The sequence below is a fragment of the Homo sapiens genome, chromosome 20 (assembly GCF_000001405.40).
Source record: "Homo sapiens chromosome 20, GRCh38.p14 Primary Assembly".
NCBI classification, from domain to species: domain Eukaryota; kingdom Metazoa; phylum Chordata; class Mammalia; order Primates; family Hominidae; genus Homo; species Homo sapiens.
In genome coordinates, this window is record NC_000020.11 from 19862989 (window position 1) to 19888787 (window position 25799).

General features: G+C 43.9%; 1 protein-coding gene across 13 annotated transcripts in view, besides 1 other annotated feature; it reads left to right on the forward strand.

Annotated features, from left to right (window-relative positions):
• RIN2 (Ras and Rab interactor 2) overlaps positions 1-25799 on the forward strand; it is a 244858-nt gene that overhangs the window by 105390 nt on the left and 113669 nt on the right. For 4 of the 13 annotated variants that reach the window (XM_047440213.1, XM_017027887.2, XM_047440211.1 and 1 more), the window contains 2 exons: positions 8094-8307; positions 23649-23792. The exons of 3 other annotated variants lie outside the window; for them this stretch is intronic. In XM_047440213.1, coding sequence (XP_047296169.1) covers positions 23682-23792 — 111 coding nt within the window. In that variant the 5' untranslated portion in view covers positions 8094-8307; positions 23649-23681. Of the gene's footprint in view, positions 1-7855; positions 7928-8093; positions 8308-21980; positions 22153-23644; positions 23793-25799 lie in introns of those variants that run through there. 6 more of the 13 variants (XM_047440212.1, XM_017027888.2, XM_047440210.1 and 3 more) reach the window with 4 other exon arrangements.
• Positions 22752-23252: an enhancer, noted in NCBI's record as "H3K4me1 hESC enhancer chr20:19866384-19866884 (GRCh37/hg19 assembly coordinates)". NCBI's record gives its function as "activates a minimal SCP1, AML or CMV promoter by ChIP-STARR-seq in primed H9 embryonic stem cells {active_cell/tissue: H9 hESC(primed)}" and the evidence as "EXISTENCE:reporter gene assay evidence [ECO:0000049][PMID:30033119]".

The window sequence follows — 25799 nt, forward strand, 5'->3', positions numbered from 1 at the left end:
TTTTCTCTCTTCTTTCACCCTCTGCTCTGTGCCTACCCTTGTCCTCTCAACTTATGTGTTTACCTAAGGTGAGCGTTTTCTCATATACATCTTATTGCTTTGTCAAATCAATCTGAATAGGAAAAATCAAGAGGAACAGCATGTGTGTGCAAGAAGAAAGGCAGTATACATGTGCAGCCTGTCATTTATGCATGTGGCCTCTGGAGTCAGCACTTGTCACTTCCACTTACTCCCTGTTGACTTTAGGAACATTATTTAACACGTTTTGTCTCATTTCTATAACATTTGCAGTGATTAAGGGCTCACCTGTCATAGATGTTGTGCGTTACATGAAACCATGTATGTGCCTCACCCTTCTGCCCTGGGCCTTATCATTGCAGCTCACACCAACTTGACTGCTGGCTGCTTGCATTTGCATCTGTCTGTCTAGAGAGTACTGGGGAGTTAATGTCCCCACAAGCAGCCTTCAACCAATGACTGATGGAAGTCAGCTGTATCAGTACCCCAGCTCCCTCACCCCCTTCAGAAGGGATAACTCTGAAGCTTGTGTTTGACACTGCTTACCAGCATTACTCTGTGAGATTAAACTCCATTTGTCCACAGCTGTCAATGGCTTGAAAATCATCCTCCTCTTTCCTGCCTCACTTTCCCATTCACCTATCAGTATTTCTCAGGACCACTTTCCCAGAAATTACCAGCCCTAGAATCCTTGCCTTGGGGTTTGCTTCTGGGAGAAGGCAAACTTTGACAGTATGTAAAGTGCTTAGCTCATTCCTTGCATCTAGGAAGTCCCAGAATGGTTGTTTCTGCTGTTATAAAACTGCGGTTCATCGGTAGAAAGCAAAGATGACCATAGATGGGAGAGGTCATTCCCATCCTGTGTTCATCTTCACACTGCTCTGGGAAACCCCATATGGGCATTGCCAGGCTGTGAGAGCACAGTGAATAATGGTCAGTTTACAACACGCATTCTCAACAGGGGCTAGATTGCCCCCAAGAAGGCAAGAATTGGTTCTCGGGGGTGGGTGGTAAAAAAAAAACTTTTTTTTTAATGTATAAGACACAGATATGCATATGATACATAAACAGTTATACGATGGATATCCATGGTATTAAGATTTAATGGAGGGATCAATTAGAAAAAAGGGTCTGAAAAGGCTGGGAAACAATAGTTTGCAAGAGGCGGGAGAAGTTACTATTGACAGTACCCTGGTTTTTGACCATCCTGGGTGGCACTGTTTAGTTTGCAGGGTCATGTCCTCTTCTGGAGTGAGGAGTTAACAGCTGAACTTTCATAAAGTTGTTTGGTTAAGTTTGCCCCACAGGGCACAAGCTTTTTGGCAAAACATTCAACTGTTTGTGGTTAGGATTTTCCTGGTTCTTATTAACACCAGACCTGGTTACATTTAGAAGATCATGACGCTTGGCTCTATAAACAAAATTACCAGGTCGTGAAACACAGCATCCTTTGAATCCTTCCTTCCTGACTTCACCAAAGTCCCTCCTCCAAAGCAGACAGCATGGAATTTGACAAGAAGAAAAAAGGACCAAATTATTTGGTTCCAATACACTTCTCCTTTGTCAAAATATGATCATTTAAAAGTTTAAAAATAGAGCCCTCCTATTGACATATAAGGAGCGTGGGGTTAAAGACTTATTAGGAAGGCATCAGCAGGTGGGTAAAGCTAGTTCAAAGCAGGATGGGTACAAGAGATTGGTGTATATGTAATCAGTCTAAAGAAATCCTGCTGAAATAGGCTACATATACTCGCTGCCTGTGATACAAAACTGGTTACCATCCTCAAAGGGCCGTCAAACCATCATCTTTGGAGTTGTTCTCTACCAGACAAATTTTATTTGTAAATTATATTTGGATGATTCTATTTGGGCATTTTGGACCATTTTTTTAAGATCACCTAAATTCACCTTAACACTTTCTATAGCATTCAAGCTAGGATATGAAATCTTAACAAGTTTTATTTCTTCATTTTCTCTTTTAAGTATCTGAAAGACTACCTGAAAAACCTGAATTAGCTTATCCCTTTTACATCAAAGATGCTGGGGAGCAAGGTGCAGACAATGGTTTGCTGTAAATGTTTACGACTCCCCCAGATTTAGTACTTGCCAATTTCCATGGTGTAAATAAATACTCCAACCATAATCATCTTCAAATTACTAACAGAATGTCCTTAGGCAGAGTTAAGGAGAGATGCTCACCGTCACCATTGTGAGATGGCATATTTTGGTCCCAGCATGTCATCAGGTGTGTGCTATGACATATTTTCTATACAGTATAGTCACAACATTCAGGTTCCTTTCTGAGGAGGTACACTCAGGCCACTGGGTAAATGCCTCTGAAGAGCCAGAAAGATCAGCTCAGCTAAATAAAACTGCCCAATAAAACTGTATTCCCTGGAACCTTAATACATACCCTGAGGGGTCCTTCAGGGATTACACAATTTTAAATTCAAATTTCATTTTAAAAGTTATACTTTCTTTCTTTTTTTTTTTTTTTGGCAACAGTGTCTTGCTCTGTTAACCCAGGCTAAAGTGCAGTGCTGCAATCATGGCTCACTGCAGCCTCAAACTCCTGGGTTCAAGTGATCTTCCCTCCTCAGCCTCTCAAAAAGCTAAAACTATAGGCACACACCACCAGGCCCAGCTAATTTTTATTTTTTATTTTTTGTACAGATGGAGGGTCTCACTTTGTTCCCCAGCCTGGTCTCAAACTCCTGACCTTAAGCAATCCTGCTTTGGCCTCCCAAAGTGCTGGGATTACAAGCATGAGCCACCATGCCTGACCAAAAGTTATACTTTACAAAAATATAATAAAAATATACACATACATACATATGTAGCAAATGTATAAAGGTGCATTTGCATACATATAATAGAAGTGGTCCCCAACCTTTTTGGCACCAGGGACCAGTTTCACGGAAGACAATTTTTCCATAGACCGGGGTTGTGTGAGGGATGGTTTTGGGATGATTCAAGCACATTACATTTATTGTGTACTTTATTTCTATTATTATTACATTGTAATATATAATTAAATAATTATACAAGTCACCTTAATGTAGAATCAGTGGGTGCCCTGAGCTTGGTTTCCTGCAACTAGATGGTCCCATCTGGGGGTGATGGGAGACAGATCATCAGGCATTAGATTCTCATAAGGAGCACAGAGTGTAGATCCCTTGCATGTGCAGTTCACAATAGGGTTTGTGCTACTATGAGAATCTAATGCCACTGCTGATCTGACAGGAGGCAGAGCTCAGGTGATAATATGAGCAATGGGGAGTGGCTGTAAATACAGATGAAGCTTCACTGCCTCACTCACTGCTCACCTCCTGCTGTGCAGTCTTGGGGGGTGGGGGACCCCTGATATATAGGACTGATGAACTCCAAGTTCAGAATTCTTGTAACCTCTGAAAAGAAAAAGGATATATGATAGACAGGACTCCACAGGGCTGGGGAGTGCAGAGAGACATGTTACATCTTTAAACCTTTTTGTATATCTTTAACATTGCATACAAAATTCACAAAACACATAGCCATATATGCTTTTTATATCAAATTTCAAGCTTTTAAAAAACATTAACGTGAAATTGTGTTTCTAGATTAATTTTGGATATTTTATTTTATTTTATTTATTTTGAGACAGAGTCTTCCTGTGTCACCCAGGCGGGAGTGCAGTGGCATGATCTCAGCTCACTGCAAGTTCCACCTCCCAGGTTCAAATGATTCTCATGCCTCAGCCTCCTGAGTAGCTGGGATTACAGGCAGGCACCACCACACCAGCATAATTATTGTATTTTTAGTAGAGATGGGGTTTCACTATGTTGACCAGGCTGATCTCGATCTCCTGACCTCAAGCGATTCTCCCGCCTTGGCCTCCCAAAGTGCTGGGATTACAGGAGTGAGCCACCATACCTGGCCAGATTAATTTATTTTTCAACACACATGTTAGTGTTTTGCTGTGCGAAAACGTTAAACCATCACTAAGAATCTTGTTTATTTTTATTTTTTTTTTTGTTTAATGGAATGCATTTTTACATTTTTAAATAATTTCAAATTTACACAAAGTTTGCAAGTATAGTACAGAGACTCATAAGATGTCAGTTATCCAGATTAACACATTTTAACATTTTACCATATTTGTTTTATTTCTCTTTTTTACCTCTCACTCCACACACAACACGTGCACACATGCTCATGTGCACACACACACACTTTTTTCTAAACCATTGGACAGTAAGTTGCATGAGTCACGCCTCTTTACCACTCAATACTTTAGTGTTTACTTCTTAAGAACAAGGACATATTTTTACATCATCACAATCCAGTTACCAAATTCAGGAAATTTAACATTGATGCAATACTTTAATCTGTTGCCCATATTTCAGTTTTTCCAATTATCCCAATAATGTCATTTACAGCATTTTTTTTCAGTTAAGCATCCAACTGAGGATCATTTATTGAATTGAGTTGTCACTTCTGTTTAGAGACTCCTTCACTCTGAAATGTATCCTTAGCTTTTGTTGCCTTTTAAGACCTTTACGTTTTTAGAGCATGCAGGCCAATCATTTTTGTAGAGTGACCCTCAGTTTAGGTTTGTCTGATGCTCCTCACAGTAGATTCATGTTTTGCACCCGTGGCAGGAATGCCCCAGAGTGATGCGGTGGCCTCCTCAGTCCCAGATATCAGGAGGCACATGTGGCAGGTTTGTTTTATTCCTGGTGACACCAGCTCCAATAGTTTAGTTAAGATGGTGGTGTCCACCAAGTTTCTCTGCAGTGGGAGAATTTTAAGAGTTGTGGTTTGTCTAAAACTGAGAGATGAATCAAACTGGGAGGGTATTTAGACTTTGCTGGATGATGGCCCCAAAGCTGCTCTGAAAATGCTGTGCAGCTGGGTGAGCCGGCCTGCTCTCTGAACTGCAAGGCGTTTTCGTGGGACAAGAAAGGGCAGCATCAGCAGCCTGTTCTGTGGCTGGGGCTGCAAAAGCCATCAGTGTCGTCATGTCTGGCGTGGGGCATGCTGGTGCACAAAGAGCCGAACCAAGCTCCACAGCAGGAACTGACACCAAGCCAGGCCCCAAGGAGGCCTGTGAGTGTGGCCAGTTCCCTGCTTTGGTGACGTGATATTTATGCACCACGGCTCTTCTGAGGTTTCTCCAACTTTCCCATATAAAATGAAGATGGCCTTTCTTCTGAGCCAGGGCTGCCCAAGTGGCAGGCCACAAACCACGCATCGCCTGACCCAGGCTGGGGCAGCAGCGTCTCGGAGAAAAACAGGAAATTGGGACATACGCGCTTTCCACCGCCTGGCTACGTTATGAGTTTCTTAGTGGTTCCATGTGGCTTGAGTAACAGGGTAATTTTCCTTAATGCAGTAAAATACCCAAAGGAATGAAGATGTATTTTATTGGACAACGTTTTATTTTAGTAAATTATTTAGTGTCCAGCACTGTTTGAAGTACTCTTACAGATTCGCTCCTGAATTCATACCACACACTTTCACTGGGCCAGGAAACACGTGAAATGAGCAGGGCAGGTCTTAGGGTTTCATCCGGGTTTTATGATATGCTGGGCAGACCGTGAACATTCGACAACAGGCCGTGCTCCATCCTGTAGGGGCACACAGCCTATGTGAGATAAACAGACAGCTATAATCATGATGTTGTGGAGGCTGTCAGAGGGACCTTGGGGACCCAGAAAGGGGAAGGGCTGATAATGGGAATAGGTAATGAAGGGAAGCTAGCACAGAGATGATCTCTGACCTAAGTCTTGAGGGATAAAAAGGTGTTCACTAGCTGGGCATGCTGGCTCACACCTGTAATCCCAGCACTTTGAGAGGCCAAGGGGGGTGGATCACCTAAGGTCAGGAGTTCAAGACCAACCTGGCCAACATCGTGAAACCTTGTCTCTACTAAAAATACAAAAAGTTAGCTGGGTGTGGTGGCATGTGCCTCTAATTCCAGCTACTCGGGAGGCAGAGACAGGAGAATTGCTTGAACCGGGAGGTGGAGGTTGCAGTTGAGCCGAGATCACGCCACTGCACTCCAGCCTGGGTGACAGAGCAAGACTCCGTCTCAAAAAAAAAAAAAAAAAAAAAAAGTGTTCACCAGGTGGTGAGGCATTTTAAACAGAGACTGAGTGATGTATACAGAAACACGCAGGGTGGATGAGTCTGCGCTGGAGAGAGGGATTAGAAATGCAAATAAAGGTTTGAATGAAATTGATGAAGACCATATACGCTGTGGCAGAGTTTGGACTGATGTCAGGGCCACCTTGATTAGATTTTGTGTTTTAGGCAGGATTTCCCAAACTTGAGAGGAAGGGTTTCTGGGGAACAAGACCCTCACTATTCCTTCAGAGGTTACTGACTTTTGTGACATGGTGAGGTGGGGAGACGAAGCCACGTCATCACTGGCCACACTGAAGATGGGTTAGCACTGACCCCAGGGAAGGGCCAAACCAAGAGATAGAAAAAGCTGGGGAAATGGGGCCTGGTTGAATTGTGGAGCTGCTGGATTGGCCCATGCCACTCCATGAAGCCTCCACCCTCACCCTGGACTTTAGGCCATCCCTTAATCACTTTTACTGCTTAGAGATTTTTAAGCTTTTATTTTGTTCTTGGGTTTTTTTTTTTTTGAGAGACAGGGTCTCGCTCTGGGGCCCAAGCTGGAGTGCAGTGGTGCAATCACAGCTACTGCAGCCTCGAACTCCTAGACTCAAGTGATGCTCCCACCTCAGCCTCCCAAGTAGCTGGGAATACAGGTGTGCACCACCATGCCTGGCTAATTTTATTTATTTATTTATTTATTTATTTATTTATTTATTTATTGTAGAGAAGGGGGTTCGCTATGTTGCCCAGATGACAGTGCTGGACCCAAGCAATTCTCCCGCCTGGGCGTCCCAAAGCATTGGGATTACAGGCGTGAGCCACCTCACGGGGCCAAGTTATTTTGAAATAATGTCAAACTTCCAGAACCGTGGCAAGAATAGTTCTGAGGACTCCTCTGTACTATTTGCACAGGTTCACTGACCTGTGCCATTTTGCCCCATTTCCTGTATCAGCCTCTGAACCAGGTTAGAGTAGATTGTAGCCATCAGGCCCCTTCACCACTTACTGCACCAGTATATACTTCTGAAGAACATGGAGGTTCTCCTACATTCCCACAGTTCGATGACCCAAGAATGGAGCCTAATCATCATATGATACTTTGATCTAAACCCGAGATGCCAATTGTTATCATTTTTCCCAATAATGTCCTGTATAGCATGTTTCTTTCTCTAGTCCAGGAACTAGTCCAGATCATGTCTTTTGCAGGAAGGTGTCAGGCCTCTTTAATCTTTTTTAAGAGTGATTCCTCAGGCTAGGTGTAGTGGCTCAAGCCTGTAATCCCAACACTTTGGGAGGCCAAGGTGGGTGGATCATATAAGGCCAGGAGTTCAAAACCAGCCTGGCCAACATGGTGAAACCCCATCTCTACTAAAAATACAAAAATTAGCCAGGCACGATGGTGCACGTCTGTAATCCTAGCTACCCAGGAGGTTGAGGCACGAGAATCACTTGAACCCAGGAGGCAGAGGTTGCAGTGAGCCAAGATCGCACCACTGCACTCCAGCCTGGGCTATAGCATTAGACTCTTTCAAAAAAAAGAAAGAAAGAAAGAAAAAATGGTTCCTCAGCCTTTCTTTGTTTTTCACGACATTGATATTGATGTAGAATCTAGGCCAGTTCTATGATGGGATGTCCCTCAGTTGGAGTGGGTATGATGTTTCTTCTTGATGAGATTCCACATACACACTCTCTGTTGTAATATCCTCTAACTGATGCTGTGTTCTTCTAGGGCATCACGTCTGGAGGAACACAGCATCTGGCTGCCTTCGTTTGGGATGCTGACTTGGATCACCTGGACAAGGTGTTGCCTAATTTCTCCACTGTGTAGTTACTATCGGTCCCCTTGCAACTAACAAATACTGTTTAAGGAGATGTTATTATTTATCTTCAAGCCAATTTGAATGGGGTTTTCTGTTACTTCCAACATAAAAATTCCTAGCTGATTCAAGGGCTCATTTGTATTGCAGGATTGATTGCTGATTACCATGGAGAAGCAGGCAAGGGATTATGAAGAGAAAGACAGGAGGGATATCTTAAAAGCTTTCATTGTGGTCTGATGGGAGCAGATCTGGACCAAGGCACATGGGGATCCTAAGAGGACTAATTCATTTGGTGACACTTCTTTTTCTTTGAATTTATTTTGCAAGAGCTGAACAACAACAAAAATGATACTCTCGCCAGGTAGGTGGCTCACATCTGTAATCTTACTTTGGGAGGCCAAGACGGGGCTTCACTTTGAAGCCAGGAGTTTGAGACCACCCTGAGCAACAAATTGACACCCAGCTGAAGCTTCATCTCATGAGGTATCTTTGGGAGACAGTATATATCGTGCACCTCAGAGATGTCCTACTAAAATGAGGGAGCAGGGTTGAGGTGAGAAAAATCACTGTTGCTAGTAAATAGCAGTGCATCATGCACTATGTGGTTTCAGAATTTCCTCTTCCTCAGACTGCCAACTTAGGTCACACATTCTAGCTGTTCTAGGTTGGCTTGTTCTAGGTTTGGCTGGGAGTTAGGGCATGCATTGCCACGTGTCAAAATACTCAACAAAGATAGATCAGTGCTAGTGAGGATTGTTTCCTATCTCCACTTCTGTGGGGTCTCTACTCTGAAGGAGGTAGAACCAATGTACGCATCGCGGCTTCTCTAAGGAATCATAGGCAGGAACTCTGCCTAACAGGGACTATATTTCCAGTTAAAAATGCTGAAATGGATCCCCAGTTTATTTCAATGATGTTTATGAGGAGGACGCTAAGATTTAGGAATTGTGGACTCTTAAGTTATTTCACTGGTTCAATAATGGAGTTAGATCATTATGGGGGCAGTGCTCAGGGAAAAGCCCATGAACAGGGTGGGTGATATGGTTAGGCTTCGTGTCCCCACTCAAATCTCATCTTGAATTGTAATCCCCAGGTGTTGAAGGAGGGAGCTGGTGGGAGGTTATTGGATCATGGGGGCAGTTTCCCCCATGCCTAGTGATAGTAACTGAGTGCTCACGAGATCTGATGGTTTTATAAGAGTTCAGAAGTTCCTCCTTTTTCACTCGTCTCTCTCCTGCTGCCTTGTGAAGAAGGTGCTTGCTTCCCCTTCCACTATGATTGTAAGTTGCCTGAAACCTCCTCAGCCATGAGGAACTGTAAGTCAATTAAACCTCTTTCCTTTATAAATGACCCAGTTTCAGGAAGTTCTGTATAATAGTGTGAGAATGGACTAATACCATGGGCTTGAGCTAGTCTTTGAAGAATAGGCAGAATTTGGATATACGAAGTAGGGAAGGTGTGGGGGCACTGGTCCAAATGCAAAGGTGGGAGTGGGGATAAAATATGGATAAGATGCATGTGCGATTGTACCTCGCTCACTTCCTCCTACCATACACTCCTATGCACGTCTTACTGCAACTTTCTGCCTGGCCGTCTGAGGGTGCCATCAAGTTAATACGCCCAGGAGCAATTCTCCAACAGTGACCTACACAACCCAGCTTCCTTGACCTCAAGTGGGACACCCCTGAAGCACACTCACCCCACATCATCTGCACTCCCCTGCAGCATCATGCTCTGGTGGCCCCCAGCTATACATGTTCAGTCTTAAAGGATAAATATTCTAAAGGTAAAATCATGACATTAATAGAAAACTTTTTAAAAACTACATCAGAGTGAAATACTGGACATTGGAAACTACAAAATGTGGGACGCTGGGTAGGGAGTGAGGGTTGAAAAATTACCCATTGATTATGATGCTCACTATTCAGGTGATGGATATAGCAGAAGCCCAAACTTCACCACTACACAAAATATGCATGTAAGGTACCTGCACTTGTACTCTCTACATATATTTAATAAATAAATTAATTAAATGTTTTAAAAACTGCTTAAAATTTTTTAAACTCATTAGTGAATGAGGGAAATGGTAAAATGTCACAACTGATTTAAACATAGACTCAAATAGCACTTACATACAAATATATAACACACTTTTTCTTTTTTTAATGTTTTATTTTATTATTTTTATTTTTATTTTATTTTATTTTTGAGACAGAGTCTTGCTCTATCACCCAGGCTGGAGTGCAGTGGTGCAATCTCGGCTCACTGCAGCCTTGATCTCCTGGGCTCAGGTAATCCTCATGCCTCAGCCTCCCAAGTAGCTGGGACTACAGGCATGTGCCACCACTCTTGGCTAATTTTTTAAAGTTTTTTGTAGAGTTGGGGTCTCACTATGTTGCCAAGGCTGCTCTTGAACTCCGGGGTCAAGGGATCCTCCTGCTTCAGCCTGCCAATGTGCTGGAATTACAGGTGTGCACCACCATGTCCAACCATGTAACACACTTTTTCTGGAAAGGACCAGATAACATTTTAGGGTTTGCAGGCCACGTAGTCTCTGTTGCAACTACTCAGTTCTACCACTGTAGCCTGAAACAGCTATAGACTATATGTTAATAAAGGAGTGGTTGCTGGTGTTTCAATGAAACTTTATTCTCAAAAGCACATGGTAGGTGCATTTGGCCTAGAGACCTTCTTTGCAGACCCCTGATACAGGCAATTAAGAACCCTGAAATTGCTTTACAAGTGGATGCAAAACTGGTCAATATCCACAGGGCACTAATCAAGTGCATCTCCATAGAACCGAATTTGCATCTCTGTGGGCAACATTCATCTGCATTATTATGAGTTTTCTACAATTTACAGAATTGAAAATACAGTTGATCCTCATTATTTGTGAATTCTGTATTTGCAAATTTGCCTTCTTGCTAAAATTTATTTGTGACTCCCAAATCAATAATCATGGTGCTTTTGTGGTCATTCGTGCACATACACAGAGGAGCAAAAATTTAAATCACCTGGCACATTCCCAGCTGAGGATGAATGAAGCTCTACCTTCTTGTTTCAGCTCTCATACTGTAAACAAGTGTCCTTTTTGATGTCTATTTAGTGCTGCCTTTTTCACATTTTGGTGTGTGTGTGTGTGTGTGTGTGTTTGTGTGTGTTGGTTATTTCACTGCTTTAAGAGGCCCCTAAAGTAAATGCCAAACAACTGTTTAAGGGCAAGAAGGCTGTGATGGAGAAAATGTGAATGTTAGATAAACTCTGTTCAGGCTTGAGTTATAGTGCTGTTGACTATGACTTCAGTGTCAATGACTCAACATTACATATTAAATAAGGTGGTTTTAACTAGAAACACACATAAAGCAAGGTTATGCATTGATCTGTTAATGAAAATGCTGTGACCAGGGGCTAGCAGGAACCTAAACTGGTATTTCCCCTAGGAACAATGGTTCAGTGTTGGCTAATTCACGGTTGGTGATGACTTTACAGAACTTAATACCATGAAGTACAACAATTGATTGTGGCTCAAAGAAAGACAGTGAAAGGTGGAGCTAACCCAGAAGGGTGCTCAAGACAGCACACCCCGTCATTATCTCATAATGCTTCCTGGTGTCAGTAATGCACCTTTCTTTGGCTGCCTTCTCTTCCCTGACTCCCTCACAGTACCTGTCTCCTTCCCTACAGTGTTTCCTGTGACTACCTCTGAAGGAAACAATTTGCACAGCAATGCTTCTCTCAGAGTTGGCTTCCAGGGGAATGGAGACTAAGACAGGTTACACTGAGCAGAGGAGTGTAATGAGAGTTGAGGGTGTAGAGACATAATTAGCAACTGAGATTGAATAGTTGAGTTGGTTGCAGAGCAGAAGGGGCCCTAAAGAGGGAATATAGATACACTTTTATTTTTAAAATTATTTTATTTTATTTTATTTTATTTTTTATTTTTTGAGACAGGGTCTCACTCCATCACCCAGACTGGAGTGCAGTGGCATGATCTTGGCTCACTGAAGCCTCCTCCTCTTGGGTTCAAGCGATTCTCATGCCTCAGCCTCCTGAGGAGCTAGGATTACAGGTGGGTGCCACCATACCCAGCTAAGTTTTGTATTTTTAGTAGAGCTGGGGTTTTGCTATGTTGTCCAGGCTGGTCTCCAACTCCTGACTTCAAGTGATCCACCCACCTCGGTCCCCCAAAGAGCTGGGATTACAGGCATGAGCCACCGCACCCAGCAGATAATTTTTTTTTTTTAAACGGAGGCTTACTCTGTTGCTCAGGCTGGAGTGCAGTGGTATGATCTTGGCTCACTGCAACCTCCACCTCCCGGGTTGAAGCAATTTTCCTGCCTCAGCCTCCCAAGTAGCTGGGATTACAGGCGCACGCTACCATGCCCGGCTAATTTTTGTATTTTCTTTTTTTTAGTAGAGATGGGGTTTCACCATGTTGGCGAGGCTGGTCTCAAACTCCTGACCTTGTGATCTGCCCACCTCAGCCTCCCAAAGTGCTAGGATTACAGGCGTGAGCCACTGCGCCCAGCCTAAATTTTTAAATTCTAAAAAGATGAGTTAACTGGATGTGGTATTGCACACCTGTAGTCCCAAAGGAGTCTGAGGCGGGAGGATGGCTTGAGTCCAAGAGTTTGAGGCTATAGTGAGCTATGATTGTGCCATTGCAGTCCAGCCTAAGCAACAGATTAAAAATTAAACTTTTTTTAATAAATAAAAAATGGGTTGCAAACAGGGAAGCAGAATGCTGGTGCAGGCCTGCAGGATGGAATGAAACAGACACAGACAGTGGTGATGCAGACATTTAAATCACTCAACACGTTCCCAGCAGAATGTGTCCTTTGGTGTGGGCCTGCAGGATGGAATGAAGCAGAGACAGACAGTGGGGATGCACAGACATTTAAAGAGCTGCTGAAGCCATTAGGGTCGGCGCAGTCCAAGGCCTGAGTGAGTGCAGAGGATGGGAAGGAAGATGAGTGACGTTTCAGCCAGAAGATTCAGCAGAACTGCAGAGTGACTGATGTGAGGAGGAAAGTAAGGGCACAGCCGGGGTCCCTCCCTCTGAGGCTTTGAGCCTGGGGTTGTCATTAACAGAAGAGGGAGCGAGGACTTCAGGGGAACGGAATGTGAAGTGGAAAGTCTGCACTGGAAGCTAAATTTCAGAGAGAGAAACCAAAAATGACTGCTTCTCGTACTTTTTTCTAGACAGATATTTCTGAGTATAGGAAAAGAGGAAGCAGACTCCACAAACCCTTGGCTTTTGTTTTTGTTTTATTTTTATTTGATCCAGGCAAAGTAAGTAGTTGCAATCCAGAAATAATGCACAGCTCTGCCAACTGAAAGATCTGACTTCTATCCTCTGGTTTATCTTCAGGTCGTATAAATCTTTTGCCTTCGACTGAAAGATTTGATTTCTGTCTACTCTCTGTGTATACCCCAATGAGATAATAAAGGGGTAGACTATAATTCAAAAAAAGGGAAGAGGAGAGAAAAGGAAAGACTCCTAACTAAGAGAATAGGGCTTAACTGGAAAATAGGGCCTATGGAGAAAGCCTTGGTTAAAATGGAAGCTTCCAGATGTAGGGAGGGCTCATGTAGAGAGAGGTGCCACACAGACTATGATGGCATAACAGACAGGCGAAATGGGGATATGTGAGTAAAAGCCCTTTATAAATCAAAATACCACATACCGGCTGGGTGCTGTGGCTCACGCCTGGAATCCCAGCACTTTGGGAGGCTGAGGCAGGCAGATCACTTGAGATCAGGAGTTCAAGACCAGCCTGGCAAACATGGTGAAATCCTGTCTCTACTAAAAATACAAAAATTATCTGGGTGTGGTGGCGGGTGCGTGTAATTCCAGCTACTCAGGAGGCTGAGGCAGGAGAATCGCTTGAACCCAGCGGGGCGGAGGTTGCAGTGAGCTGAGATCTCACCACTGCACTCCAGCCTGGGCAATAGAGACTCCATCTCAAAAAAAAAAAACAAAAAACAAACAAACAAAAAAAACAACCACATACCAAGTGTACTGGGGCATTCATTCTTTTACAGCCAGACCCACCCATTTGGATTAGGCCAGTCAGGACTGCGAAGAGGTCAGTTTGGCCCAGTTTGCTTTACTGATTTCAGCAAAAGCACTTACAGCCTTCTGGAGGAGAGTAAGAAGATAAGGTCTTCAGGAAGATAAAAGCATTAACTTCTAACCTTCCCCCTTGCTGGAGATGCTGTTACAACCACCCAAAGAGAGGGATGCCTTGTTTTACCAAGAAACTCAGCTTCTGGGTGATTCTCAGGCATGTTATCTGTTTTCCTATTATCTGCAGTAACTCGAGGTCAATGGATGCTGATTGCAGAGGGTTCATAACATTACCCCAGCCCCAGAGAAAGTGTGCATATCTCAGACACAAGGCAGAGGTATTTTTCAGTGCTTACTGGATGTGTTTTGACTCCCAAGAGAAGAATGTTTGGAGGGGAAAGGCATCTGGTTTGGAACTGAGAGCGAGGTTTCAGAAGTCTAAGACAGTGGGTCCATAGTGCAGGGTTATAGTGTTGTAGACTCACCCCGTGAAAGAGCCATAAGGCAGAGGAAGGAGCACAAGAGCCAGGATGCTTCTCAGGAGAGAGTCTGACCTCTTTGCTGGAATTCAGAGCTAGAGAGAAATTAGGTTGCAATAGGGCTGTTGAACCTAAGCCCACCTGCTTTCTGCAAGTGCCACAAGGATGTAACTAGGCCCACACAGGACCGAACCTTATACTTTTGCAAACCAGGATTGGATGGAGGGTGGGAGAGGACTAAAAGCAGTGGTGGGGCTGGGCACAGTGGTTCATGCCTATAATCTCAGCACTTTGGGAGGCTGAGGTGGGAGGATCGCTTGAGCCCAGGAGTTCAAGACTAGACTGGACAACTGTAGAGACCCCTGTCTCTACAAAAAAGTCAAAAAATTATCCAAGTGTGGTGGTGCACACCTGTAGTCCCAGCTACTGGAGAGGCTGTGGTGGGAGTATCACTTGAGCCTGGGAGGTTGAGGCTGCAGTAAGCCATGATTATGCCAGTGCATTCTAGTCTGGGCGACAGAGTAAGAGTGTCTCAAAAAAGAAAAATAGTAGCGGAAGCTGTGTCCATTCTGTTGTGAGCCCTAAGATGATCCTACCTGCCACCCAATAGTCCCCTAACACCTGAGATATGCACTTTGTCCTATCCTAGCCTCACCCCTCCTCGTGGAAGGAGAAGTTTTTGGAGCAAACAAGTTGTGCCAGTCTTGGGCCCACATCCCCTCCCTGCCTCACCCATGCTCCCAATGCCCAAAGCTCTGGAATCTCTTCCCGCGTGGCCCAAGCCTGCTTCCACTGCTTGGCAGGATGTCTCCCAAGCCCCTGGGCCCATGGGCTGACTCTGCTCCTGGAGTAGCATCCATAGGCTGAAAAGTGTGGGAGGGAATAAAGGATGCACAGCACTTGGACATGAAGGATGGGGTATCCACAGAGCTATTGGAGGGAGAAGAGGTGTAACAAACCAGGGTCACCCCATGTCCCCATGTTCAGGGACAAAACACAGACGAGTCTGAGAATTTTAAATTTAAACCAGGTTTCCCAAGTCCTCGTAAAGGCACATTTGTCGTGGTAGGAGAATAGAACATACTTTAGTTAACAGTTTGTTCTCTTGATGTATAATTTTTTTAATATTCAGACATAAAGTATAAGTGAACTTCCATCTGTCCTCTTGCCTCAGTCCCTGAAAATGCCAGTGTCCACCCAGCATCCTCATGGGTGGCACGAAAACCCAGACACAGGCAATGATGCTGTCTCTACTGTCAACTCAGACCATCCATCCATGGGCCCACTCGACCCTCCGTGCTTTACTGTTTTCCATAATCTAATTCTTTTGCTATCATTATGACTCAAAGCAGTCTCTCTTGGACATGAGTTTGTACCCACCCTCAAATAGTCTCAATGGATAAGAGGTAATCCTGCTTCCTCCCCTGTACCTTGGGCTCCATGCTAACCACACCTGCCCTGTCTGGCCCCACTGCCAGAGGAAGGAGTCAGACGTCTGAACAAGAGGATGGGGTGAGGTAGAACATTGAGAGGAAAACCCTAAGCTTCAGAGAACCTGCAGAGCCTAGCAGAAATTATTTGGTAGTTGCAAATAGTGCAAAACTGAATAATAGGAAACTGGATTTGTGAAATATCCTATGTCCTTGTCACTCCTAACAAAAGACATGAATGCCATTGGTCAGCCAAGACAGACTTTTAAACATGCCTGAACTTCTGAGGCACAATTGCTGCCACCAAAACCACCTTTCTGGTGATGGCAACAGATATCTCTGAGAGCATTACATGGATTTTTATGACTCTTTCATAGACACACAAAATACTAAGTTATTTTGGAGAACTGTTACTTTCTTTATGCTTTTCCCTTGCTAATTTCTGGAGTCTGGTTGTGTGATGGTATTAAATATTAATACCTGTTATCGGCACATTTACTATGTTTAGAAGGTGTCATGGTATGTTGTTATTTTGATATTAGACACTGTGCTTCCGCTGACTGTCCACATGGAATCCGTGGGCTTACAAGGAAGACATTCTTCAGAGGAGGCTATCTGTTCTCCGGCCCACTTCCTAAGAGAAAGCATGGAAATTTTAAGGCTCTAATCCTACAACACATGGATGCAAAGACATGCACAAACACACAGCGTGGTCAATTTGCTTCACTGGTCGATATATTTCACTGGGAGTTTAGCACGTGTTTCCGTGGACTTTTTTCATTGTGTGATCTTCAATGCTGATGTGTTGACTTGGACAAACACCCGGAGACTTCTCTAGAATTCCAATTTGTGCAAAAATGAAAGGGCTGAGAAACATGATTGGCTAGTGGACTTGTAGAGAATAAAGTAGGTTTGTATGCTATAGAGAGAGGAAAGATCTTCAGATCATAGAACTCTGTAAGAAAAATCCAACCACAGAGAGAACACATGGACTCCCTAAACTCTTTCATTTCTTTGGTATTTCAAAGTGGTATCAAAAAATATGTATTTTTTTCCAGACCGGTTGCAGTGGCTCATGCCATCCCAGCACTTTGGGAGGCCAAGGCGGTCGGATCACTTGAGGCCAGGAGTTCAAGACCAGCCTGGCCAACATGGTGAAACTCTGTCTCTAACAAAATTACAAAAATTAGCTGGGCATGGTGGTGCACACCTGTGATCTCAGCTACTCAGGTAACTGAGGCAGCAAGACAATTGATGAACCAGGAAGGTGGAGATTGCAGTGAGCCGAGATCATGCCACTGTACTCCATCCTGGGCAACAGAGTGAGACTCTGTCTTAAAAAAAAAAAAAAAAAAAATTTCCAGCATGTTTTGTGGGTCAACAGCATGGTATGTGTGTTGCTGGCGTTTATCTGTCCTAGGAATTCTTAAAGATAAGCATGGCTCTTCCTATCATCTTATGCTTTAGAGGAAGTCATTCTTTTTTTTTTTTTTTTTTTTTTTTTTCTGAGACAGCGTCTCACTCTGTTACCCAAGCAGGAGTGCAGTTGCATGATTAATGCAGCCTTGACCTTCCAGGCTCAAGCGATTCTTCCACATCATCCTCCTGAGTGGCTGGGACCACAGATACATGCCACCATGCCCAGCTAATTTTCTGTAGAGATGAGGTTTTGCTGTGCTGCTGGGCTCAAGAGATCCTTCTGCCTTGGCCTCCCAAAATGCTGAGATTATAGATGTGAGCTGCTGCACCTAGCCGAGAAAGTCATTCTTTAAAAACCCTTCTCTTTAGCCTAGATGACTTCCTTGTAAAATCCTATGCACTTACTCATTCGGCAAACATTTACTGAGCACATACGTACCAGGCAGCACGTAAGGTATTAAAGACACCACTGTGAACAAGCAGATGAGATCTCTAATGTCTGGTTCCATAAAGGAAGATCTTTTCTTCTTCTCTCTTCAACCTCCATAGAAATGGAACCCACTAAGTCTAAAATAACAGACCGAACATATGGCTTCCTTTAACTATTCCCGATGGCAGCATTTTACTTGGTTAAGATGAGAGCCAGAAATATTTCGTGTCCTACTAGTGACAAATAATGTGGTTTCATGGATAAAGCACTGGTTTCAGTCTAGAGATCTAGTTTCTTACTTTTGCTATCTTTTATTACTTAAGTGTATGAAGAATCAAATAAAAGCCACCTCTTCAGAGACCTTGTGGTTTAGAATTAGTGAATTAAATATAGTGGTGACCTGGAATTGGTTCTCCCTGCTCACTAGAGCTGATTGTTAAAATTTCATGAACTTTCCAAGTCTGTTGATGTCACACTGGTAGCTTGAAACCAGCCATGATGGGAGTATTTACACCACAAAATAGGCAAATGCTAAAACCCGGGGCTTTTATTTCCCAGAAAGCCAGTTGTTAAACATTTCCCTGCGCATCACTAACTAAAGGGAAGGGTAAACACCCTGATGGTGAAGGGGAAAGTTTGGAAAGACATCAGCATATACATGGTCAAAATGAAGGAAAAGAAGCAAATTAGTACATGAGATTCCAGGCAAGATGTATCCTAGAGGCTAATTTATTATATAGGGATGATGTTCCTCTCTTTTTCCTTCATAGCACTGGTTGTCATGACATTTCGACCCAAAACATTGTATTTTATTTATTTATTTTTTAAAAGAGACAGAGCCCCTCACAGAGTCACCCAGTCTGGAGTGCAGTGCTGCAATCAGAGCTCACCACAGCCTCAATCTCCTGGACTCAAGAGATCCTCCCTCTTTAGCCTCCTGAGTAGCAGCTGGAATTACAGGCATGCACCACCACACCTGGCTAATAGACTCAGGACATTTTCATGTAACCCTGTGGACTTTGTTTATGTTCTTTACTCCACTAATGACATAGGCTGTTAGTAAACAAAACAAAAAACATTGTAAGAATAAAGAGTATTGTGTTTAGAATTTCAATACTCCATTGCTGGGCCAAAGAATATTCCTAGAGTTTCTGTGGAATTGCTTCTACTTTCATTATTGACTGTCTAAGAATTACAAAATCACTGGTATTGTAGCCATTTCAGAATGAAATGGGTGAAGATGCACTCAACAGAATTTGTGATAGATCCAAACATAAATTGATGAATTTTATCTTGCTTGTAATTTTGGAAAGTGAAAAAAACTTGGTCTGAGAAAAATGATACTGGTAGAAGAAAACCTGATGACAGCTGTCACTAACTACACCCAGTCACACTTGTTATGATGGAACAAGTGACGGAAGCATCAGTCTTACAAAATTCGGACATTCCAAATGTAACCCAGGGAATTTGGAACTTCATAGAAATAATGAAAACAGCCAACACCTCACAGAGCAGGAATCTTAAACAGTAAAGTTTCACGAAGACAAAAATCTTTTTGATCAATCATGTCTCTTTTACAAAGTTTACAAGGAAAGTATTCATCCCTAAAACTATTTTCTATAAAATTAAAATTAAATGAATAGCTATATGAAAAAACTGTCATACCACACACAAAATCCAAAGCTGCCAGATTACAACCTCTAATGAAAAATAATCACCTACATAGACTCTTTTACCATCATGGACAGAGAGCCTTGGAAAAGAAAGCTCTAAACTCAACTGCTAACAGGTTGATGAGTAGACCCTGAGGAAGTCCCAGTGTGTGTGGCTTCTTTGTCCATGGGATTCTGTGGATTACGGGCTGAGGTGGCTTATGACACCTCTGCACTGTATTGCATGAAGTTACTGCACACATATGTTGTGTGACCACTGATCACATGGAGCTTTTCGAGTGAGGAGGTTTGGAAATATTGTTGACCCTTGAACAAAACAGGTTTTCAAACTGCACTAGTCCATGTATACACGGGTTTTTTTCAATAAACATATTGGAAAATTCTGGGGGAGATTTGCAACAATTTGAAAAAAACGCACAAGTTGTGTAGCCTAGAAATACTGAAAAAAATTAAGACAATGCTAGGTATCTTATGAATGCATAACATACGGGTTAATTGGCTGCTTATGTTATCAGTAAGGCTTCTGATCAATAGTAGGCTATTTGTAGCTAAGTTTTGGGGGAGTTAAAAGTTGTACTCAGATTTTTGACGGCTCAGAACCCTTACCCCATCCATTGTTCAAGGGTCAACTGTATGCAGACTTTTCAATGACCTTGCGGGTAGCCAAGGGGAAGCCACCCCTCTTTCCCTGCTCAATCATATTCCAAGTGAGTTGAGTCCATCAGCCCTGAGGCCTGGGCCACCGGTGCAGGAGAAGCCATCAGTCAAGAGAGGAATAAGGGATGCCTGCAGGGGTGGCGAAGAGGGATGCCTCAGGAGGCTAATTCTTAAATGGCCCAAGGGGGAAAATGAGGGCATTGGATAGGAGGTGAGAGAAGCTTCCTACTCCAGAAAGAGAGGACTTTTTTTTTTTTTTTTTTTTTAGACCTGGTCTCTCTCTGTTACCCAGGCTGGAGTGCAGCGGAGCGATAATGGCTCCCAGCACCTTTGACCTCCTGGGCTCAGGCAATCCTCCTGCCTCATCTTCCCAAGTAGCTGGGACCCTAGGCACTCACCACCATGCCTGGCTCATGTTTTTGTTATTATTTGTAGAGACAGGGTCTCCCTATGTTGCCTGGGCTGATCTTGAACTCCTGACCTCAAGTGATCCTCCCACCTCAGCGTCCCAAAGTGCTGGGATTACAGGCATGAGCCACCATGTCCAGTCAGAAAAGGAGGACTTTCTAACCAGCAGAGGAGCCCACCTGTTGCCCTCGGGTGGTCACATGGCCAGTAACTACATGGGCACCAGCAGGGCTTCTGTGGTGTGGACAAGGTGAGAGTTTCTATGAGTCTGTGAACCAGTTTTCCAAGGAAAGAAGGGATGGACTTCCACCAGAATTAACCCCATTTACAGGCCAGTCCTGTAAGTGGTAGAAAGGAGTTTTAACCACCGCACCTCACACCACCTTGTTAAAAAAAAAAAAAAAAGGTTACTCTTAGAAAAATTGAGGCACTGGACATTGTTCCTAATTACATTTTTAAAATACTTTTTAATTTTTTTATGTGAAAGATAGGGTTTCACTATATTGTCCAGGCTGGTCTCAAACTCCTGGCCTCAAGCATTCCTTCTGCCTTGGCCTCCTAAAGTGCTTGGGATTATAGGCATACGGGCATGAGCCACAGCACCTGGCCAACAAGAGTTTTTAAATAGGATTAGGACCAGGCGTGGTGGTTTACGCCTGTAATCCCAGCACTTTGGGAAGCCAAGGCGGGAGGATTGCTTGAGGCCAGGAGTTTGAGACCAGCCTGGGCAACATAGGGAGGGAGACCTGGTCTCTACAAAATAAAAATAAAAAGATGAGTTGAATGTGGTAGCACACACTGGTAGTCTCAGCTATTCGGGAGGCTGAGGTGGGAGAATCACTTGAGCCCAGGAGGTTGAGGGGCAGTGAGCCGTGACTGCAGCAATGCACTCCAGCCTGGGCAACAGAGCGAGACCCTGTCTCAAAAACAATAATTAAAATTAAAATTAAAACACTGTTGTTGAGTAAGGGGGCTGGGAATACAGTTCTTTCCATATGACTTCTTTCTTTCTCGTAAATTAGCTTGTCTTTTCAATGGAAAGTTTTCATGACCTTCAAACTTAAAATTTTTTTTTAAAATGACTGTTGGGTGAGGGAAAACCTGTGTCAAACAGTGATCCAAGACACTTTAAAAATTTCTTTCAATTCACATAGTTCGAATTGTCAAGTCTGATCCTGGAATAACATTTGTCTGTCCAACGTGTAAAATATTGAGTAATACAAAGATAATTATGGAAATATTCAGAGAACTTCCCTGGACCCAGACACAGAGCCACCTCCATTTCCTCCTACCTCTCTTAGAAAAAAACAAAAAGCATTAAAAGGAGAGATGACCTGTCTCCCTGGGAGCTGGTTAAGCGACCAGGCAAAAAAAGTGAGATGCATTTCTTAGATTCGGACTTGACCTGACAGGTCCTCTAGGGTGAGTCACTTTTTCCTATTTCAGTCAATTTGGCTGTAAAATAATTACAATAACGAGGTCTTGTTTACTGAGACTGAAGTCCGTGCTGCCCGGCCTCATTTAACGGCTAGAAAGAAAAACTGAAGGTTGTGATTAGAAAGCTTCTGTAGCCAACCTCATGCAGCACGGAGATGAGAATCCAGGACTTGAGTACACTAAGTGTCTATTAAGTCAGAACTGTGAGTAGTGGAATCCAATATAATTGCTTTTGCTGCTTCTTTTGTGGGTTTGCACTTGTGACCTAAAGTAAATAAAATAGCATAAAATAGGAAGCTGGGGTGGGGGCAAGAGGAGAAGAGATTGGGCCGATGTTGGTCAAAGGATACAAACTTTCAGTTCAGAAGGAGGAAAAAGTCCAAGAGCCGTATTGTGCAACACGGTGACTGTAGTTAATACCAATGTATTGCGTATTTGAAAATTGCGGCCGGGAGCGGTGGCTCATGCCTGTAATCCCAGCACTTTGGGAGGCCGAGGCAGGTGGATCACTTGAGGTCAGGAGTTCAAGACCAGCCTGGCCAACATGGTAAAACCCCACATCTACCAAAAAATACAAAAATTAGCCAGGCATGATGGTGCACGCCTGTAATCCTGGCTACTTGCAGGCTGAGGCAGGAGAATCACTTGAACCCTGGAGGCGGAAGCTAAAGTGAGCTGAGATGGTGCCACTGCACTGCAGCCTGGGTGACAAAGTAAGACCCTGTCTCGAAAAAGAAATACAAGCAAACAAACAAAAAAAAAAACGAAAAGAAAAGAAAATTTTCGAAGACAGGAGATTGTAAGTGCACAAGTGCACTCAGAACAAAAAAAAGCATATGAGGTAATGCATATGTTAATTAGCTTCACTTAGCCATTCTGCAATATGTATACCTATATATATCAAGATGTCATGTTGTATACCATAAATATATACAATTTTTACTGGTCAATTAATAAAATAAAATCCTTCCCCCAAAATAGGAAGGTTACGTTGGACTAAAGAAATTAAGAGAAGAGGAGAGGAGCGGAGGGGATGGGAAGGGTGGGGAAGGGACAGTAGAGGTGGGCGGGGAATAGGCGACGGGGGAGGGCAGAGGAGGGAACAGGCCTGTCCTTAATCCTTCTCAAGCTCTGTATCTTGCCAAGATCTGGCCTGTGGCCCGGCGCAGCAAAAGCTGGGAAAATGCCAGTGACTCAACCCAGTTCCATTGATCAGTGAAATGGAAATCGGGGACTCTGTGTTTCAACCCCAGTCAGCCAGCCCACAGCCAGGGTCCAGGTGGCAGCCTCAGCTCCTGGCCTCAGTGGCTGTCAGTAGAATGGGTTGGGGAGCCAGCCTCCAGCGGTCTCACATAGCAGGCAGGCAGTGCAGCCTGGAGCCCAGCCAGGGGACGCAGGAATCCTTTCTGCTTTTTAAGGACAGACTTTGCTTTACCACAGCAGTCGCTCTTGGGGCCACACGGAAAGCCACCACTGAGTTTACTATAAAGTGACAGAGGCTGGTGTCTCTAGGAGAATGAGGAATAGTCACTTCCTGCCTTTGTCCATTAGCGCCGACCAACGCGACCAGCTCCGTTTACATTCTTTCAGTGGTGTTGTTGAAAGGGCTTGGCAGCTCCCAAATGTTTGCAGTGTCCTTAGTCCTATGAGGGCTGCCTTCTTCTTCTTCTTCTTCTTTTTTTTTTTTTTTTTTTGCTAGCTTTTAGCTAGTATCTGGAAACATCTACTGGACATGTTGGACTCATTTTCTCAAGAATCCACTTTACCCTTCAGGGAAGCCAGGAAAAGAACAAGCTTCCAACCGGTACAAGTCTGGAGGAATTTCACAGCCTCTCAAACTACGGTACCCTTTTTGTTTCTTAGTCTAGCCTGTTACTGGGATGGTTTTAGGATGAAGCTGCTGGGGTGACATCTGTGGGGAGGCATGGGGAAGCGCAGGTGAAGAGAAGTTATCGTTTTAAATGGTATTAAATTGCTGTCAATATTGAGTCAAGGTGTCTAAGGTTATGGTTTGGGGAAGAAAACTATAGCTAACTATAGCTACTACAGAAAGATCTTAAACCAGAACTCTTTTGGGGCCCTGAAGAACTTTTTTTTTTTTCTTTCGAGACAGAGTGTTACTCTGTCGCTCAGGCCAAAGTGCAGTGGTGCGATCATGGCTCACTGCAGCCTCAATCTCCTGGGCTCAAGTGATCCTCCCTCCTGAGTAGCTGGGACTACAGGAGCATGCCACCATGCCCATCTATTTTTTTTTTTTTTAATTTTTTTTAGAGACAGGGTCTCGCTATGTTGCCCAGACTAGTCTCAAACTGCTGGATTCAAGTGATTCTCCTGCCTTGGCTTCCCAAAATGCTGGTCATGAGCCACTGCACAGACCAAGAACTTTGTTTTTCTGGCCAAGGACTTTATTTTTTAAAATAATAATAAGCTATGTACTGTCTGCTTGAACTATTGGATGGCCACCAGCATTTAATCCCATGGGATGTACCTGCTGCTGCACCTGGCAGTGTGTTCCTGTCACCTGCTCTCATTTCCCTCTTGGAGCAGCTTATGAAGGAGAGATGCCACCTGCATCTTTTGAAATGTGATGGATCTGCCTGCCCTGAGCAGAATTCAAACTGGATGGTGAATTGAGGACTGCTGGAGGTTAAAGGGTACACATGAAGTTTTCAGGCAGCTAATTAAAATAAACTAGTACATTTCTGGAACCTAAACTGCTCCAATGCTGTAGGCAAAATTCCCTGTCTGCCCTGGCTCATCAGAAAGAGTTTGTATATGGAAAACTTCAGAACAGAACAAAGGAACTTAAGTCTGGATGAGGAATGAAGTCTTGGCTCTCGTTTAGCAATTCCTGAACTGCCAGGTGACATCAAATCCCCTGCCGAAGAAATGTCTGAAATAAAAAGAATTCCAGACATTAGGCCTGGTTTAAAACAGGGTATGCTTTTTTATTTGTGTGCTTCTGGGTCTAAACAGGTCATGGTTTGCTCCCCAAGGTGACAGTGTGGCTCCCATTCCGTCCCTAGTTCTGAGCATGGCACTGTGATTTCTTTCTGGAGTTGCTCCAACCTGTGGCCTTTTGCTAATGAGTGATGAACCCCAGAACCTGAACTTCTAGAGTCAGCAAAATTGCACACTGCCTTCTCAGGAGGTTTCTGGAACATTGGCCTTCATCCCAGCAGGATCACAAGTGGAAAGAAACACAGGGAAGACCCCGTCAAATCTTTAAAGTGGCCACAGCACGGAGCACTGACACAAAGAGACGATGGTTCTGGAAGGAGGGGTGGGATGCTCTGTGTCACTATTGTTTTCTAGATGGGATTCCGTGCACAGATCATCACAACTCACTGTGAGTGCAAGCAGGGGTGTAAATCGTGGGGCCGAAAAAAACCTTTGTGCAAAGATCCTTGCTCACTCACTGATATGCACTTCTCAGCTATAGATTCATGCTTTTCCACTTGTTGAAACGTCCCTAAATATCGCCCTCAATGTCCTGTTTGTGTCGCTGGCTCTCTGCCACTCAGCTAATAATGAAACAGCCTCAGTGAACCTGCAGCAGCAGCTGCCTTAGCTTCAGTGCCTACCCACCCCTGCAGCTGAACCACTTTGAATATTCCTTGATGGTGCAAGAGACAGTCTCACTATTCCCTTCACTGGCCTTCCTCTGTGTCCGTCACGGTTGGCATGAGCTACCTCCTGTGCATGTTATGGCGAGAAGGGATGAATGAGGAAAGACAGGGTGGTTTTATACTTGATCCTGGGACAGTCACTGGGTAAGGAAGGGTTTGGGGTTGCTCCCCCAGGCCCCCCTCAATGCGTGAAGGCCTGAGCCAGGTCAGCTGGCAGAGGT